General features: G+C 37.3%; 1 long non-coding RNA gene across 4 annotated transcripts in view, besides 1 other annotated feature; it reads right to left on the bottom strand.

The window, feature by feature from the left end:
* The window catches only part of LOC105375630 (uncharacterized), a 559,756-nt gene that overhangs the window by 415,438 nt on the left and 124,676 nt on the right, over window positions 1–19,642 (bottom strand). The gene's annotated exons all lie outside the window — the stretch shown is intronic.
* Window positions 11,849–12,690: an enhancer, noted in NCBI's record as "OCT4-NANOG hESC enhancer chr8:89471701-89472542 (GRCh37/hg19 assembly coordinates)". NCBI's record gives its function as "activates a minimal SCP1, AML or CMV promoter by ChIP-STARR-seq in naive and primed H9 embryonic stem cells {active_cell/tissue: H9 hESC(naive and primed)}" and the evidence as "EXISTENCE:reporter gene assay evidence [ECO:0000049][PMID:30033119]".

Genomic DNA, 19,642 nt, shown 5'->3' with positions numbered 1-19,642 from the left:
TAGGGAACTGGAACAAAGGTGACTCTTGCTATGCTTTAGCAAAGGGATTGGTAGCATTTTGCCCCTTCCCTAGAGATCTGTGGAACCTTGAACTTGAGAGAGATGATGTAGGGCATCTGGGAGAAGAAATTTCTAAGCAGCAAAACATTCAAGAGGAAGCATAGCATAAAAGTGAAAAATTGGCAGCCTGATGATACAATAGAAAAAAGAACACCATTAACTTGGGAGAAATTGAAGTTTGCTGCAGAAATTTGTATAAGAAATGAGGACCCAAATGTTAATCACCAAGACAATGGGGGAAAATGTCCCCAGAGCCTGTCAGAGAACTTCCTGGCATCCTTTCCCATCACAGGCTTGGAGCCTAAGAGGGAAAAATGGTTTCGTGGGCTGGGCCCAGGGTCACCCTGCTGTGTGCAGTCTCGGTACATGGTACCCTGCATCCCAGCTGCTTCAGCTCCAACCATGGCTAAAAGGAGCCAAGGTACAACTCAGGCCATTGCTTCATAGGGCTTTGCAGGGTACAGCTGCCCTCCTGGGTGCTTTCCTGAGCTGGCATTTTCCATGTGCACAATGCAGCTATACCCTGCAAAGCCACAGGAGTGGACCTCCCCAAGGCTGTGGGAGCCCACCTGTTACATCAGTGTGCCCCAGATATAAGACCTGGAGTCAAAGGAGATCATTTTGGAACTTTAAGGTTTAATGACTGCCCTATGGGATTTGGACTTGCGTGGAGCCCATAGCGACTTTGTTTTGGCCAATTTCTTTCATTTGAAATAGGAGTTATTTACCAATGCCTGTACCCCCATTGTTTCTTGGAAGTAATTTGGTTTTGATTTTACAGGTTCATAGGCAGAAGGAACTTGCCTTGCCTCGGATGAGACTATGGACTTGGACTTTTGGGTTACTGCTAAAATGAGTTAAGACTAGGGAACTGTTGGGAAGGAGTAATTGTGTTGTGAAATGTGAGAAAGACTAAATTTGGGAGGGATCAGGGGCAGAATGGCATGGTCTGGCTCTGTGTCCCCACGCAAATCTCATCAATTGTAATGTGAATTGTAAACTCCATATGTTGAGGGAGGGACCTCGTGGGATATGATTAGATCATTGGTGTGTTTCCCCCATGCTGTTATGGTGATAGTGATTTAGTTCTCACAAGCTCTGTTGGTTTTTTAAGGGTCTATTCCCACCTTCACTCTGCACTTCTCTCTCCTGCCCCCATGTGAAGAAGGACGTGTTTGCTTCCCCTTCTGCCATGATTGTAAGTTTCCTGAGGCTTCCCCAGCCATGCCTCAGTGTGATCCAATTAAATCTCTTTCCTTTTTAAATTACCCAGTCTCAGGTGTTCTTTTAGCAGCGTGAGAGTAGATTAATGTAACATTCTTACAGACTATGAAAACATGCTAGAAATAGGTGCCCACAGAACAAAACAAAACTATAACTTATTTCAAAACAAAATAAAGAATATTAAGAAAATTATAGAAGATAAGAAAGAATATAAAAAATGGAAAGCACAGAAGTCAATTAAAAAGAGAAAAATTTATTTTAAAAAGGAAGGCTTAAATAGAAGAAGCACACAGCAAATGAACACAAAAAAATGTGTCAAGCAGAATAAAAAATCAAAAGGAAAAGAACTTTAAAAATATAAAATAAGTTTTTAAAAGATGTGAAAACTTCTAGGAAATTGAGGAATGCTAATATTGCCTAAGAATTTTGAACATCTGAATATGTGTAATATCTGGGGAGGAAAATCAAATTGAAGAAATAAGACAATACCAAAAATATAATTCAAAAAAATTTTCTCAAATGGAATTTAAAACTATATTTTGAAAGGGGCCCACAAAACTGAGAATATTAACCTAAATTTTCAACACCAAAGTATATTCTGGTAAAATTATTGCATGCATTTTTTTCTAAAAATCTTTGGTGCTCTAAAAGAAGGAACATGACTTATAAGGGGAAAGAAAATTAGATTATCATCAGATGTTTTAAGAACAAGTTTTTACGCCAGTGAAAATTGGAATATTTAAATAGTAAAAAAATGCAGGTATAAGTAAAGAATTTTATCTTAAAAAATAGAAACTTAATCTAAAGTATAAATATAACAAACTTTTCAACATGCAAAAAATCAGGGAATTGTGTTTGCTTGAAAATTTCATAAAGTATCTTGCCAGGGAATAAGCTTTAGAAAATCAAAATGACTGGAAGGACATCACCATGAAGTGTGATAAGAAAGGTTGGTGAGCATTTATTAATTATTACATATAGAACCACTTAAGATTAAATGAGTTTTGAGAGGAGCAGTATATTTTGTGTAATAAATAGATGTTAGTTATATCAATGTAGATATAGAATAAGTTTTTTAAAATGAGAAGAATGACAGAAGCATATGAAAATTTTTATGTTTTCTATAATTCTATTGGTGATATCATTAGTATTGTTAAGTGTATAAAATATGAAATAAATCTTAGATTGAATTATGGCATATTTTATTTCTATCAATGTCTATGTTCCTTGGAACCAATATACTCAATATGTAATCTTACATTTAATTATGGCTGTATTCTATTTCTATCAATATCTATGTTCCTTAGAACCAATGTACTCAACATGTAAATACAATGTAATAGAGAGTAGAATAATAAAATCTCTGTGGTTTAATTTTGAATTAGAATTTTAATATGAACTCATGAATATATATGTTTGTACCCTAGCTCTGTACACTGAAATTGCCAAGAAAAATGACTAAATCAATGGGAAGTACCATCCTTACCTTACAGATTTTTGTCTTGAAATAATATTTCTTTAAAAGAATGTAGGACTTTTTGTAAAGATGCTAGGAGATGATTAATACAGTTGATAGAATCATTATTTTCTCTAGGAAGAGGAAGGATGTTGGATTGGGTTGAGGCGCATGAACGAGATGTGTAAGATGTTTGGCAAACGTCTATTTCTTCACTTGGGTAAGGTAACACAGGTGTTCATGTTAGCATACTGTATTAAGCCATTTCAGTAGCTGGGACTACAGGCGCCCGCCACCACATCCGGCTAATTTTTTGTATTTTTGAGTAGAGACGGGGTTTCACCGTGTTAGCCAGGATGGTCTCAATCTCTTGACCTCGTGATCCCCCCGCCTCGGCCTCCCCAAGTGGTTTTCTTTGTTTGTTTGTTTTGGGTTTTTTTTTGAGACGGAGTCTCACTCTATTGCCAGGCTGGAGTGCAGTGGCACGATCTTGGCTCGCTGCTATAGTGTACATTTTTAGATGGTGAAGGTGAAATAAAGAATTTTGTATTCAAACCAAAACAAAATTTCTCATCAATGCACCTGCAGTAAACAAGTTATTCACGGAATTCTTCACACAGACAAAAAAATGATCTCAAGCAAAAACCAAGTAATAAAGAAAGAAAAGCCACTGAACAAGCAATCAAATCAAAACCTACTAAGTACTACAATTACAATAATAATGATGATGATGTCTGGTGGGTTTTAATATAGGTAGAGTCAAAATACATGACATGAATTATAAAAACTAGTGGGAGTAAGTTTTCTATGTTTTTGGCAATTTTTATGACTACTTTCTAAAATTATTGATATATGCTAAAATCCAAGGATACATATTTTAGTCTCTAGGAAAATATATTTTAAAAACAACTAAAAAATGTAAAATTAACAAGGTAATCACAGGGAAAATGAATGATAAAATACCCTTAATCCAAAACAAATCAAAAAAGGAGGAAAGGAGAACATAGTACTGTGAAAAAAATAAAAATACAGAAAAATTTAGGATACATCAATAACAATAACTGCATTAAATATACATATAAATTAAAGATTCCATTTGATGACTAAGACTGTCAGACTGCATAGAAAACAAACGCAAACACAACTGCCTTCTCTTTCAAGAGGCAAATCCTTAAGAATATAAAGACATTGAAATTAAAAGAGATATATGGTGCAATACTATAAGAAAAGTTCTAAAGAGTGCAATAAGGCAAATACAATACAATAAAATGTATAGGGATTTGAACTATCATTATTTACAGATGAAATGGTCATATATATAGAGACTTCAAAGAATGCAACTACAAACTGTTAGGATTATTGAGGGAATTTGGCAAGGTTTAAAATTACAAAGTTAACATATAAAAATTATTTGTGTTCTCTATATTATCAACAACTTAAAAATAAAATTTAACAATATTTTAAATGTGGTATTGTACCCTAAAATGAATATATATGTGGTCTCTGTCCCAGTTTCCTGTAATAGAGTTTATAAAAACCTTTGTAGCTTCCTGAGTGATAGGGGGTTGCAGGGACATCTTCTGTTAATAATATTTGGTCTTTGTCCCCAGTTTCTACACAAGAGCGTAAGACTCTTGGAACCTCCAGAATAATAACAGTGATTTTTTATGCTAATGAGACTGGTGGTAGGGGGCAAGGGGGCATCCCTAGATAGCTTCAGGTTGAGTGCTGGCCACCAGAAAGATCCAGGTACCATTAGAGGATTGCAACTACAAAGAAGAAGACACTGATTTCCAAATGAAAAAGGATCTTCTTAATACATGGTGCTGGATACATATACACTGGATCTCTTTATGTGGGTGGAGTGGGGACTGGGGAAAGGAAGAATCTTAATCTCTACCTAACACAAATCTTAAAAATAAATCTCAGATGAATTGTCAATACGAATTTAAAAGCTAAGCAAAGAAAGCTTTTAGAGGAAAACATAGAAGAGGATCTGCAAACCTAAAGGTAGGTAACTATTTTTTAAATAGGACGTTTAAAGCAAGACCCATAAAGAAAGAGTTGATATATTTTGCTACATTAAAATAGGAACTCTCTGTCAAAGACCACATTGAGAAAGTGCAAAGACAAACCAAAGCATGAGCAAAAATATTTTCAGTATATTTATCCAACAAACGACTCTTTCAGAATACATAAAGAAATTCGACAATCAATAAAACAAAAATAAAATGTGATAGAAAAATGGCCAATAACTTGTCCAGGATTTCATAAAAGAAGATATTTATATGACCAATAAATAATGGAAAGGTATTTAATCTGTTTAGCCATTAGAAAAATGCAAAATAAAACCACAAGTTACATTGCACACTCATCAAAACAGTTATAATTAAAAAGTCAGGTAAGTGAGAGTGTGTGAAATCAGGATAGTGGATACTTTCTTTAGAGTTGGGTGTTGAAAAATAGTAATTACTGGAAATAGGCATAAGTGGTTTATGGAGTGAAAGTAATGTGTTTTTCAACCTGTATGCTGTTATAATAATGTGTTCACCTAGTAAAAATTTATAAAGTTATACACTTATTTGTTAAATGAGTAAATTTTTTATTTCCTTGAAAAGAATTCCAGGGAAAATCTACTGTTAAGAGGATGTGCTACAGTATAATCTAAGGCTAATTATATACATTTTAAAATCACTCCCATAAAATTGTGCCAATTTAACTGCACCAAAAACAGAAGCATTTTAAATTTTTGCTAAGTTGATAGAAAATTATACCTTGCTATAATTGTCACTTTCACGTTTATTTCTTTCTAATTTTATTTACACATATTTCCTCCTATAATTTATTTAATGAATTAATTTCTAAAACTATTAATTTTTAAGTTTTGTTGTTCATCTTTTTGCTGTTCATTTGACTATACTGTCTTTGTTACACACATTGCACCTATATATGCAATTTAATTTTTGCAAATATATGCACATTGCTGTGTGATATTATGTGTATTTTCCTTTATTATAGGCAGTTCTTAATTTATATGTATTAAAATTTACAATAGTTCTATTTTGTCTTTCACCATTCTGTGCTTAGTAAAATCTCCCATGTATGAAAACAGATAGATTTTCACCAATGTTACAGTTTTCTAGGTTTTTTTTTTCCTTGGCATTGTGTGACTTATGCATGGCTGGACATCAGTTTACCACAAGCTTTATGGCTTAAAATGACATACATTTATTATTTCAGTTTCTATGGGTCAGAAGCCTAGGCACAGCTTAACTGAGTCCCCTGATTTGAGTAGCTCAGCGTTGTAATAAAGCTGTGGTCTGGTCTGTGTTTGCATATAGCAGCTTGGCCAGGAAGAATCTGCTTACAAGCCCACCCAAGTTGACAGTATCAATTTCCATTTGGTTGTAAGACTGAGCATGCTAACATCCTGCTACTTGTCAGCTTGCAGTCATCCTCAGCTCCTATAAGCTTCTCGCTTTTCCTTGTCACATACACTTTCCCAATATCCCCACTTATTCTATTAAACCAACAAAGAGAGCATCTAGAATGAGTCGGCTAGCAAGATGGAGTCTTTTATATAAAATAACATAATCATGAGCATTTCATCCCATTATCTGTGACATATCCTAATAGTCACAAAGAAGTTATGAGCAAGGATTATATGAACGCATGAATACCAGAAGCCTGGGACCATGAAGTAAAGAACACCTTAGAGTCTGGTCAACAGGTTTATTTACCTCATGCCTGAGATATTGAAGAACTGGAAACTTTCCTCTGTGGCCCACTCATGTAATCGTAGCCGACAGCCGTTCCTCCTCCTCCCTCTTACGTGTGACCTAATCCCCTAAATGCTGCTCTCCACCCCCTTGATACAATCTAAATTGCAAAAACAATGGCGAGTAATTCAAAAGAGCAATTTATTTCTTGAGAGAATTTTCCAGAAACTATGCTATAAATCAGGTGACCATCTTATTTAAAACAACAACAACAACAAAAAAAAACCAGCCCTTTTCCTCAAGTTGGAATACTCCTTTGAAACTTCTGAAGCCCACTAATTTCAAATAAAGAATTATTCTAATAATGAGTTGCTTGATTTCTGTTCCACAGCCCATAGGTGAATTAAGATAACTTCATTTTTATTTTATTTATTTATTTATATTTCTTAGGCAGATTTTGCTGATTTCTTTTAACTTCCTATGATGACTCAGAACTTTCCTTTTATTTATTTTTTATTTTATTTATTTATTGTTTTTTGGAGACGGAGTCTCGCTCTGTAGCCCAGGCTGGAGTGCAGTGGCATGATCTCGGCTCACTGCAAGCTCTGCCTCCTGCGTTCACGCCATTCTCCTGCCTCAGCCTCCCGAGTAGCTGGGACTACAGGCGCCCGCCACCACACCCGGCTAATTTTTTTTTTGTATTTTTAGTAGAGATGGGGTTTCACCATGTTAGCCAGGATGGTCTCCATCTCCTAACCTCGTGATCCGCCCGCCTTGGCCTCCCAGTCACTATTTCCAAATGAAATAATTTAAGACTGGATTTCTCCAGTACGTTTGTCTCTCACTACTTCATATAAGATTTGATGCAATATTCATTATTCTATAAATAATTTAGAAATATATATTTTATGCCCTTTATCCAATATACAGGCACTATTTAATTTCTCATTGGTATTTTTTCCAGAAATTTGTTACTGATTTCTCCTTTTAATTCATAATGGTCAAAAATAAATCTTAAGAAGTTATATGCCTTATTATGTCTTACTGGCACATACTTACATACATACTGGCACATACATACATCAAAGTGGGGGCAGTAAGAGACATTCGCTGTAAAGGAATAAATATAAGAATTATACTTCCTGCCAGAAAACATGCAAGAAAGAAGAGTATGAACAGAAATATTTAATCTTCAACAAAAAAATAATCTATTTAAAATTTTCTAGAACTCCTAGAACTAATAAGCAATTATAGCAAAGTTGCAGGATATAAGGTTGACATATAAAAGTCAATTGCTTTCTCTATTTACAATAGCAAAGACTTGGAACCAACCCAAATGCTCATCAATGATAGACTGGATAAAGAAAATGTGGCACATATACACCATGGAATACTACGCAGTCATAAAAAAAAGAATGAGTTCATGTCCTTTGCAGGGACATGGATGAAGCTGGAAGCTATCATTCTCAGCAAACACAGGAACAGAAAACCAAACACTGCATGTTCTCACTCATAAGTGGGAGTTGAACAATGAGAACACATGGACACAGGGAGGGAAACGTTACATACCAGGGCCTGTTGGGGAGTGGGGAATACAGGGAGGGAGAGCATTAGGACAAACACCTAATGCATGTGGGACTTAAAACCTAGATGATGAGTTGTTAGGTGCAGCAAACCACCATGGCACATATATACCTATGTAACACACCTGCACATTCTGCACATGTATCCCAGAGCTTACAGTAAAAAAAAAAAAAAAAAAAAAAAAAAAAAAATTCAATTGCTTTCTTATATACAAGCAAGGAATATTTATAATTTGAAATTTGAAAACAGGTCATTTATAATATCACTAAAAAGGAAATACTCAGGTATAAATCTAACAAAATATATTTAAAAACCAATATATGAGTAAACTATAAAATACTAATGAAAAAAGTTGAAGAAGCTCTAAATATGGAAAAATAGCTCATGAATTAAAAGACTCAATATTGTTGGCCGGGCACGGTGGCTCATGCCTATAATCCCAGCACTTCGGGAGGCTGAGGTGGGTGGATCACAAGGTCAAGAGATTGAGACCATCCTGGCCAACATGGTGAAACCTCATCTCTACTAAAACTACAAAAATTAGCTGCGTGTGGTGGTGCATGCCTATAGTCTCAGCTACTCAGGAGGCTGAGGCAGGAGAATCACTTGAACCTGGGAGGCGGAGGTTGTAGTGAGCCAAAATCACACCACTGCACTGCACTCTAGCCTGGTGACAGAGCAAGACTCCATCTCAAAAAAAAAAAAAAAAAGAAAAAAAAAAAGAAAAGAAAGGATAAAAAAACTCAATATTGTTAAAAAGTTCATTTTTCTTAACTTGATCTACTGATTCAATGCCACATTAAACAAAATTTATTCTAAAGTTTATACAAAAAGGGAAAAGACCTTGAATAGCCAACAAAAACTTAAGAAGAACCAAGTTTGAGTATATGTGATGTACACAATCTATTTCTAGGCTTACTATATGTCTACTGTTATCGAGACAGCATGGTATTGGTCAAAGAATATAGAAATACATAAATAGAACAAAATATAAATGCCACAAATAGACCCAAACATATATAGTCAACTGATCTTTGACAAAGGCAATTTAAATGTAAAGGATTAGTTTTTCCAACAAATGATGTTGGAATAAGTGGACATTGATATACAAAAATGTACCTCATTGAACTTGCACCTTACACAAATAATTAAGTTAGAATTCATCCTAGACTTATAAAATTTCCAGAAGAAAATATGGGGGATCTTGCTTTTGGCTTGACTTTGTAGATAAAATATCAGAAGTACAAACCATGAAGAAAAACATGATATGAAACTTTTTTAATTAAAAACTTTTACTATGAAAAAGGCACTGCAAAGAGAATAAAAGAAACAAGCCATAGACTCAGAAAAAAAATTTGCAAAACAAATATCTGATATATATGCGACATATACAAGAACACTTGAAACTCAAGAATAAGAAAATAAACAACCCAATTTTAAAAATGAGCAACATTCACTATAGCCACACACAAAAATAAAATACCTAGGAATACAGCTAATGAGGGAGGTGAAAGATCTCTACAATAAGAATTATGAAACACTGATGAAAAACATCAGAGACTACACAAACAAATAGAAAAACATTCTGTGCTTATAGATAGGAAGAATTAATATTATTAAAATGGCCATAATGTCCAAAGCAACGTACAAATTCAGTGTTATTCCTATCAAACTGCCAATGACATTCTTCACAGAATTAGAAAAAAGTATTCTAAAATTAACAAGGAACCAAAAATGAGCACAATAGCCAAAGCATCATAAGCAAAAAGAACAAAGCTGGAGGCATCACATTACCTGTCTTCAAACTATACTACAAGGTTACAGTAACCAAAGCAGCATGATATTAGTACAAAGAGACACATAGAACAATGGAACAGAATAGAGAGCCCAGAAATAAAGTCACATACCTGCAATGATCTGATCTTGACAAAAACAAGCAGTGGATGGTGCTGGGATAACTGGTTAGCCATATGCAGAAGACTGAATCTGGACCCTTTCCTATAAAAATCCTTGAATAAAACCTAATGAACACCATTCTGGACATCAGCCTTAGGGAAGAATTTATGACTAAGTCCTCAAACCCAATTGTAACAAAAATAAATATTGACAAATGAGACCTAATACAACTAAGGAGTTTCTACACAGCAATGGAAACTATCAACAGAGTAAATAAATATCCCACAAAATGGGATAAAATATTTGCAAACTATGCATCTGATAAAGGTCTAATATCCAGAATCAATAAAGAACTTGAACAAATTAACAATCAAAAAGCAAACCACCTAATTAAAAAGTAACGACATTAACAGATACTTTTAAAAAGAAGACATATATGTAGCCAACAAACATATGAAAAGAGGCTCGACATCATTAATCATCAGATAAATGCAAATCCAAATCACAATGAGATAGATACCATCTCACACCAGTCAGAAGGGCTATTATTAAAAAGTCAAAAACCAGTAGATGCTGGCAAAGTTGCAGAGAAAGGAGAACGCTTATACATTGCTGGTGGGAATCTAAACTAGTTCAGCCACTGTGGAAAGAACTTTTGAGATTTATCAAAGAAGGTAGAACTACCATTTAACCCAGCAATACCATTTTGGGTATATACCCAAAGTCATATAAATTATTCTACCATAAAGACACATAAACACATATGTTCATTCCAGCCATTTACAATAGTAAAGACAGGGAATCAACCTAAATGCCCATCAATGGTAGATTGGATAAAGAAAATGTGGTACATATATGCCATGGAATACTATGCAGTCATAAAAAAGAATGAGGTCATGTCATTTGCAGTAACATGGATGGAGCTGGAGGCCATTATCCTAATTGAACTAATTTAGGACAGAAAACCAGACACCACATGTTCTCCCTTACAAGTGAGAGCTCGAAACTGAGCACACAAGGACACAAAGAAGGAAATAATAGACACCAGGGCCTACTTGAGGTTGGTGGGTGAGAGGAAGGTGAGGACTGAAAAACTATCTATTTGGCATTATGCTTATTAACTGGATGACGAAGTAATATGTACAACAAACCACCACAATATACAATTTAATTATGAAACCAATCTGCACATGTACCACTGAAATGAAAATAAATGTTAAAATAAATAAATAAATAAATAAATAGGCAAAAGATCTTGACAGACACCTCAGCAAAGAAGGTATACAGATGATAAATAACTACATGAAAAAAATGCTCAACATAATATGTAATTAAGAAATTGCAAATTTAAGCAAAAATAAGATACCATTATATACCTGTTACAATGGCTTTAATCAAACAAAATTGACAATACAAAATGCTAGCAAGAATGTAGAGCAATAAGAAATCTCTTTCATTGCTGGCAGGAATGCAAAATAATACAGACACTTTGGAAAAGAGCTTGGCAGTTTCTTACAGAGAAGAACAAAATTTTACTACATTTTTCAGAAATTGCACTCCTATCCATTTACCTAACTGATTTGAAAACCCATGTCCACACAAAATTGTGCACGTGTAAGTTTTTAAAAACTTTATTCATAATTACCCAAAATTTGAAGCAACAAGATATAATCCAATATGTGAGTATATAAATTATAACATACCCATATGACAGAATATTCTTTAACAATAAAAAAGAAATGAGCTATTAAGCCATAAAATTACATGGATGAAACTTAAATACATATTACTAAGTTAAAAAAGTTTATAGTCATCTTAGGGTTTATGATTTTCTGGCTAAGAGTTAGACTGTGTTTACCATTCGTTACAACTGTAGTTATCAGGGGCTAAATTTTCCTCTTCTGACCTCATTTTTGTCTCTCACATTACTTTTCAGTTTTCCTAGAGATTCCTTCTTGAAGAAGGTTGAATCTTACATTTGTTTCAGTTTTAATTTTCAGTTATCATACAGGAGGTCTGTAGATACAGGGGCAAGGGTTGAGGGGTCAGAAACATTTTGTATTCCCACATCATATCTCAGTCTTTAAGTGGCCCAGTATCTCTAAGCTGTGACCTTCACAAGAACTCAGCTTCCCTTCAATCCCCTTAGGTGAGACAGGAATCCTGAGGGTTGCTGGAGATGGGTATTTATCTTCCCTTTCTCTGTAGGTAGGTTAGGCTCTGGCAAAACAGTTTCCCTTGAGAACAGGTCTTTGTTATTGAGAACAGAACACAATGAGTGTATTTGAAATGGTTAAATTCTTCTACCGCTTAAGGAAGCAGGGGGAGTTTTTTTTTTCTCATCTTCACCCTAAGTATCTGTGAATATGTGTGCTCCCGTGTTAGGTGCATACATATTTAGGATAGTTAGGTCTTCTTATTGAATTGAACCCTTTTAGCATTATGTAATGCCCTCCCTTGTCTTTTTTGATCATTGTTGGTTTGAAATCTGTTTTGTCTAAAATTAAAATTGAAACCCTGCTTTTTTGCTTTTTTTCATTTGCTTGGAGGCTTTTTTCCATCCCTTTATTTTGAGCCTATGAGTGTCATTACATGGGAGATGGGTCTCTTGAAGACAGCCTACCATTGATTGGGTCTTGCTTTTTTATCCATCTTGCCACTCTGTCTTTTAAGCGGGACATTTAGCCTGTTTACACTCAAGGTTAGTATTGATATGTGTGGATTTGATCCTGTCATTGTGCTTTTAGCTGGCTTGTTGTGCTTATTAGGTTGGCTTGTTTATGTGTGACATTGTTCTGTGTGTTTAAGTGTGTTTTTTTATTAGCTGGTAGCAGTACTTTCTTTCTATATTTAGTACTCCTTGTAAGATCTCTCATAAAGCAGGTCTGATGGTAATAAAGTCCCTCAACATTTGCTTATCTGAAGAGGGTCTTATTTCTCCTTCACTTAGGAAGCTTAGTTTGACTGGATATGAGATTCCTGGTTGAAGATTTCTTTCTTTAAGAATGTTAAATATAAGCACCCAATCTCTTCTGGCTTATAAGGTTTCACTTGAGAGGTCTGTTTTTAGCCTGATGGGGATCACTTCGTAGGTGACCTGCCCTTTCTTTCTAGCTGCCTTTAACATTCTTTCTTTCCTTTCATTGTTGAAAAATCTGACAATTTTGTGTCTCAGAGATACTCTTCTTGTGTAGAATTTTCCAGGAGTTCTCTGTATTTCCTGAATTTGACTGTTGGCCTCTCTAGAAAGGTTGGAGAAGTTTTCATGGATGATATCCTGAAACATATTTTCCAAGTTGTTTGCTGCCTCCCCCTCCCTTCCAGGGATACCAATGATTTGTAGACTTGGCCTCTTTACATAATTCCATACTTCTCGGAGGTTTCCTTCATTCTTTTTTATTCTTTTTCCTTTATTTTTGTGTGACTGTCTTATTTCAGAGAACCATTCTTCAAGTTCTGAGATTATTTCCTCAGTTTGATTTATTCTGCTGTTAATACTTGCAATTGCATTGTGAAATTCCTGTATTTTGTTTTCAGCTCTGTCAGACTCCTTAGGTTCTCTTTTACTCCAGCTATTTCATCCTTCAGCTCCTGTATCACTTTATTGTGTTTCTTATTTTCCTTGGATTGGGTTTCCCCATCCTTCTGAATCTCAATGATCTTTGTTCCTATTCATATTCTGAATTCTATTTCTGTCAATCCAGCCAGTTCGACCTGGCTAAGAACTCTTGTTGGAGAACTGGTGTGGTCATTTGGAGGACATATGACACCCTGGACATTTGAGTTACCAGAGTTCTTGCATTGTTTTTTTCTCACATCAGCATGTGGGTGATCCTTTAACTGCCGTGGGGATTGAGTACAGTCAGTAGGCTTCTTTTCTGAATGTTTTCATTTGGCTGAGGCTATGTGTACAGTCTTAATTTGAAGCTGACCTCTTGTTTCTGGTTTCAGAGCGGGGTATGTTAGTGAGGTATTTTTGATGTTGAAGCTTTGAGGTGTTATCCAGCAGGTGACACTTAGGCTTATAGGTCAGCTGGTAGACTCTTGTTTGGTTGTGTGGCTCCCCTTTGTTTCCTCTCAGTTGCAGCCTTGTTCCCTCTTGGTGCTCTGAAAGTGTGGGTTTCTCTCCCCCTTGATTGCTGGCTATAGTTCGCAACTTGGCACTCCTGGGCTGCCCATTGCAGCGCTGGGGTGATTACAGTATTTATGTTCCCTTTCCAGCTTAGAGGTAGCAGAGGAAGAAATTTTAGCAGTAGTTGTGGCCAAAGGTAGTTTGCTTGACTCCGGGGGTTCCACCTCAGAGATATGCAGGTCAGCAGTCACTCAGTGCAGTCAGCCCAAGATGGAGGGTTTGTGCTGTGGGCCCAAGCAAGGAGAAACCTGTCTGGTGGTGAGCCATGGGGTGTGTGTGGGACCCATGGGAAATAACTGGCCTTCTCTCCTTGGGTCAACTGCAGCTTGTTGGAGGTGTGGAGAAGGGCCTTTGCTCCTTCATTAGTCTGAGGGTGGCAAGAGCAGTTCCACTGCAGAGGCAGTGGCTGAGAAGCTTTCAGTTGACATTGGAGGCTCTTTCCAGGGAGTTGCTGAGTTGGTACTGGCTCAATAGCTCTGGTGGGGATGGGGGGTGGCTGGAGGCCCAGGCGTAGAGGACCTGCCCAGTGAGGAGATATGGGGGTGGCTGGAGGCCCAAGACTAGAGGACTGCCCAGTGAGTCTGGCCACTTTTCCGTATGGCTACTGTGGTTTGCTTAGGGCCCACTACAGTCCCTAGTCACCTCAGATTTTCCAGAACCTTGAGGTGCCACCAGTGAAGATTGCAAAACAGGAAAGATGGCCGCCTGTCCCTCCCTCTGGAAGCTTTGTCCCAGGGAGGTACAGACCTGTTGCCAGCCCAAAGGCACTTGTAAGAAGTGGCTGGAGGCCTCAGCTGGGAAGTTCCACCCTGTGAGGAGGAACAGGATGGGGATCCACTTAAAAAAGCATTTGGACACATTTTGTTAGAGCAGCTGTACTGTGCTGGGGGTCCACTTCAGCCCTCGATCACCTCAGACACTCTGAAGCCCAAAGACTGGAACAGCTAAGTTGCCCAACAGCAAAGATGGTGGCTTGCTCCTCCCTCTGGGAGCGCCATTCCAGGGGGAATTCAGATCTCTGTTGGCTAGAGAGCTTGGGTGGGGGTGGCTGGATGCCGCAGTTGGGAGGTCCCACCGGGTGAGAAGGAATGGAATTAGGCACCGGCTTAAAGCAGCAGTCTGGCCACAAGTTTTGGTAGAGCAGCTGTGCTGTGCTTGGGGATCCCTTCCACCCCAGGTTGGCTCAGACTCTCCAAAGCCTGAAGGCTGGAATTGCTAAGGTGCCCAAACAGCAAAGATGGTGGCCCATCCCTTGCCTCAGGAGCTCCTTTTTAGGAAGTGTAATGCCACTACTGGTAGCTGGCTGGAATTGCAATCCAGTGTGGCTTCTATTGTGAGGTGCCATGGGAGTGGGGCCTGGGGGCCATTGCTGCTCAGCCCCCTGGATTCAGCCTCTTTCCTAGGGGAACATACAAAAGCCTAAGCTTCCACTTTGCTGAAGCTGCCGCTACTTTTGCCAGAAAGCCCAATTATCTAAGGCTCCAGTGTCTCCATGCATGCCTGAGCGGCTGCTGTGCCAAGACTCCATGTAGCTCTGTCAGACTGAAGGCTGAAGGCCCCAGTGGAGTGGGTTCACAAGGAGATCTCCTGACCTGAGGGTTGTAAAGATCTGTGGGAGAAGCATGGTTTCCTGGGGTCACTCATTTACTCACCACTTCCCTGGGTTGGGGAGGGTCCCCTGGCTCCGTGTTGCTCCTAGTTGGGCTGTTGTCCTGTCTTGCTTTTCTTCATTCTGTGTGGGTCAATTTGTTTCCTTGATTAATCCCAATGAGAGCACTTGGATGTTTCAGTTGAAGATGTTGTTTTTATTCACCCCTTCTGTTCCTTTCTGTGACAGCCACACACTCTGGCTGCTTCTAGTTGGCCAGCTTGGCCACTCCCCTTCTATCCTTTTCTTAAATAAGAGAAAATAAACTTAGCAATTGACCTGCTGATGTTATACAGCTGGGTGTCATCTATGGCAAAGATCAAACTCAGGACTCTTCTGATCCCAAAGTAGGGGCTTGTCCCTATTAAGAATATCCAATTTAAAAAAACACACATATGCTTGAAATTCTGTTTTTTACAGTCTCAAAAAAAAAAAAAGAATTTAAAAAGCCTAAAATTACTACAGATGCTTTGCCTTCATTTTGAGTAAATCATTTCTTTTTTGAAACTAAATCCATGTATGTACAAACTCTTCCAGGTTAAAGACTACCTTGCCATTCTCTGTAATTTTCTATTTAACTAATTATCTTAATTAATTAACATATTAACTTATTTTAAAAATCTAATTTTAAGACTTTGGAGATGCTAAATAACTATAGGTTGAGTAGCTCTTATCCAAAATGCCTTAGACCAGAAGTGTTTTGGATCTTGGATTTTGGAAAATTTGCATATACATTATGAAATGTCTTGGGAATGGAACTCAAATTTAAACATGAAATTCATCTATGTTTTATATACACCTTATACACATAGCCTAAAGGTAATCTTATACAATATTTTAAATAATTTTATGCATAAGACAAAATTTGTGTACATTGAACCATCAGAAAGCAAAGGTGACACTATCTCAGCCACCTTTGTGAAGAGTGTGGTTGTTTGGCATTGCCATCATTCTTGACTGAATTTATATGCTACCAATTTTATTACTTACAAATAAGAACTTAATAGTAAAAATATGGCATACCATTAATACAGTGAGAAAAACAGTATGTTCAGTGTAACTAAGGACAATAGCATCACCAGAATACCTGGATCTGCTGTTAAACAACTGGAACAACAAACAATAAAAGGCCTTCCGTCTCTATCTATGATGCTGTATTTTGACTAAAAGGTTACTGTGCACATTATTTTATTTTTTGGGTGAGAAGAAACAGCAGAAGCTGTTTAGGGACCAGGAAGTGGATCCTCCATGGATGAGGAGGCATTCTTCATGATGGCTTTTTAAAATGTTTCTACCAGAGTTAACTTTCTCATTAATAACAACTTTTGTCTTAGAATTCTCTCTTCGATTTTATAAACTGACATGATCTCTTGTTCTTTTATGAATGCATGCTACTGTAGTCCTTTAATAAGCCCATCACACATTTTCACCATGTTGTCTATAGGCACTTTTTCTACAGTGTTAACATCACCTTTATAGTCACTAGATCACAATAACCTGGATTTAGAACCATTTCAGCTATTTCACCACCAGCCAGTGAAGAAAGTATTGTAGCCTCATTATCAGTGTTAAAACTTCTTCTATATCTACTTCTTCCAGCTTACTTAAGAGCTGTGAAGGTACATTTTTTTTGCATGTGTGATTAGGTCAATCATCTTTTTCCTCACTTGGTGGACAGAATCCTCCAAAATCACCACCTTGTTCATCATTATCATTGTACATAGTGACAAGCCAGAGGTTGTGCCAGACATGCATGCACAACTGTTTCTTTAGTCACTGTGTTCTAAGCATTGACAACAGCACATACACCATTCTTTATGCTAAACTCCTTCTGAAAACTTTCATACCCATGCCTCTGTTCACTATTACTAGTATGCTATTCAAGAAGGTGTTTTTATATTTACTCTTCATTAATCTAATGATATTCCAGTCATATGGCTAAATTAATGGAGTCACATTTGATAAAAAGTACATGGCATAAACTTTATTTTTATGAGAATTTCAGCTGAAAGATGAGCAGAACAGTTGTTGAGGAATAATAAAATCTTGCAGTTGTCATCCAGTCCGGCTTCTCTGCAGTGAGCACAAGCCACTGGTAACAACGTTTGTGAAACTAACCAAAAAGATGTCCCTGGTGACCCATATCTATTTATTTATTTAGAGACAGAGTCTCGCTCTGTCCCCCAGGCTGGAGTGCAGTGGTGCAATCTCAGCTCACTGCAAGCTCCGCCTGCCAGGTTCACACCATTCTCCTGCCTCAGCCTCCCACATAGCTGGGTCTGCAGGTGCCCGCCACCACGCCTGGCTAATTTTTTTGTATTTTTATTACAGACAGGGTTTCACCATGTTAGCCATGATGGTCTAGATCTCCTGACCTCGTGATCCACCTGCTTTGGCCTCCCAAAGTGCTGGGATTACAGGTGTGAGCCATTGTGCCCGGCCCACCCATGTCTTTTTGTTAGCATAATAAAACACTGATAAGAATTCATTTTTTTGTTTTTGAAAACTGTGAGGACAGAAACTTGCTTATCACAGCAAATTTCCATTTAGGTGTGCCTGCTGCATTAGCACATACCAGCGCAGTTATTCTGTCCTTGACATCTTTAATTCCTGTAGGGGCTGTCTCATCAGCTGTAGTCAGTGTCTTTCTGGAACAATAATATCAAAACAGTGATATTTAATCAGCAGTATAGACTGTTCTGGCATCAAATTTTTATCAGTGATGACCCTGGCCAACTCATCAATGAATTTCTCCACTGCTTCATGATCCGCAGATACTTTTTCAACACAAATCTTTAAAAATTTAATGCTGTGTCTTTTCTTAAAGTTTTAAAACCAGCCTGTCCAATATTCAAAGTTTCTTGTAATTTTCAGTTTATCGTAATTTGTCTCTGCTTGTCTCATGATCAGCATACCATCAAGTGGCATGTTCTCACTGACAAGCTGATAGACCCACTGATATGATTTGGCTGTGTCCCCACCAAAATCTCATCTTGAATTGTAGCTCCTATAATTCCCACATGTCATGGGAGGGATCCAGGGGCAGGTAATTGAATCATGGAGGTGGGTCTTTACCATGCTGTTCTAGTGATAGTGAGTAAGTCTCATGAGATCTGATAGTTTTATATAGGGGAGTTCTCCTACACAAGCCCTCTTGCCTGCCTCCATGTAAGATGTCCCTTTGCACTTCCCTTGTCTTCCATGATTTTGAGGCCTCCCCAGCCATGTGGACCTGTGAGTCCATTAAGCTTCATTCTTTTATAAGTTACTCAGTATTGGGTATATCTTTATTTGCAGTGTGATAACAGACTAATACAGTAAACTGGTTCCAGAGTGGGGCACTGCTATAAAGATACCAGAAAATGTGGAACAACTTTGAAACTGTGTAACAAGCAGAGGTTGGAACAGCTTGGAGGGTTTAAAAGAAGACAAGAAGTTGTGGGAAAGTTTGGAAATTCCTAGAGACATGTTGAATGACTTTGACCAAAATGCTGATAGTGATATGGACAATAAAGTTCAGGCTGAGGTGGTCTCAGATGGAAATGACAAACATGTTGGGAACTGGAGCAAAGGTGACTCTTGTTATTCTTTAGCAAAGAGACTGGTGGCATTTGCCCCTGCCCTAGAGATCTGTGGAACATTGACTTGAGAGAGATGATTTAGGGGATCTGGTGGAGGAAATTTCTAACCAGCAAAACATTTAAGAGGTGATTGGAATGCTGTTAAAAACATTCAGTTTTACATATTCACAATTGTAACTTATTTTGGAATTGGAACTTATTTTTTAAAAGGAAGTGGAGCATAAAAGTTCAGAAAATTTGTAGCCTTGTGATGTGATAGAAAAGAAAAACCCATTTTCTGAGGAGAAAGTCAAGCCACCTGCACAAATCTGCGTAAGTAATGAGGAGCCAAATGTTAACCAC

Source organism: Homo sapiens, chromosome 8 (assembly GCF_000001405.40).
Source record: "Homo sapiens chromosome 8, GRCh38.p14 Primary Assembly".
NCBI classification, from domain to species: domain Eukaryota; kingdom Metazoa; phylum Chordata; class Mammalia; order Primates; family Hominidae; genus Homo; species Homo sapiens.
Note: the sequence above shows the minus strand (reverse complement) of the source record. Positions and strands in the feature narration are given on the sequence as shown.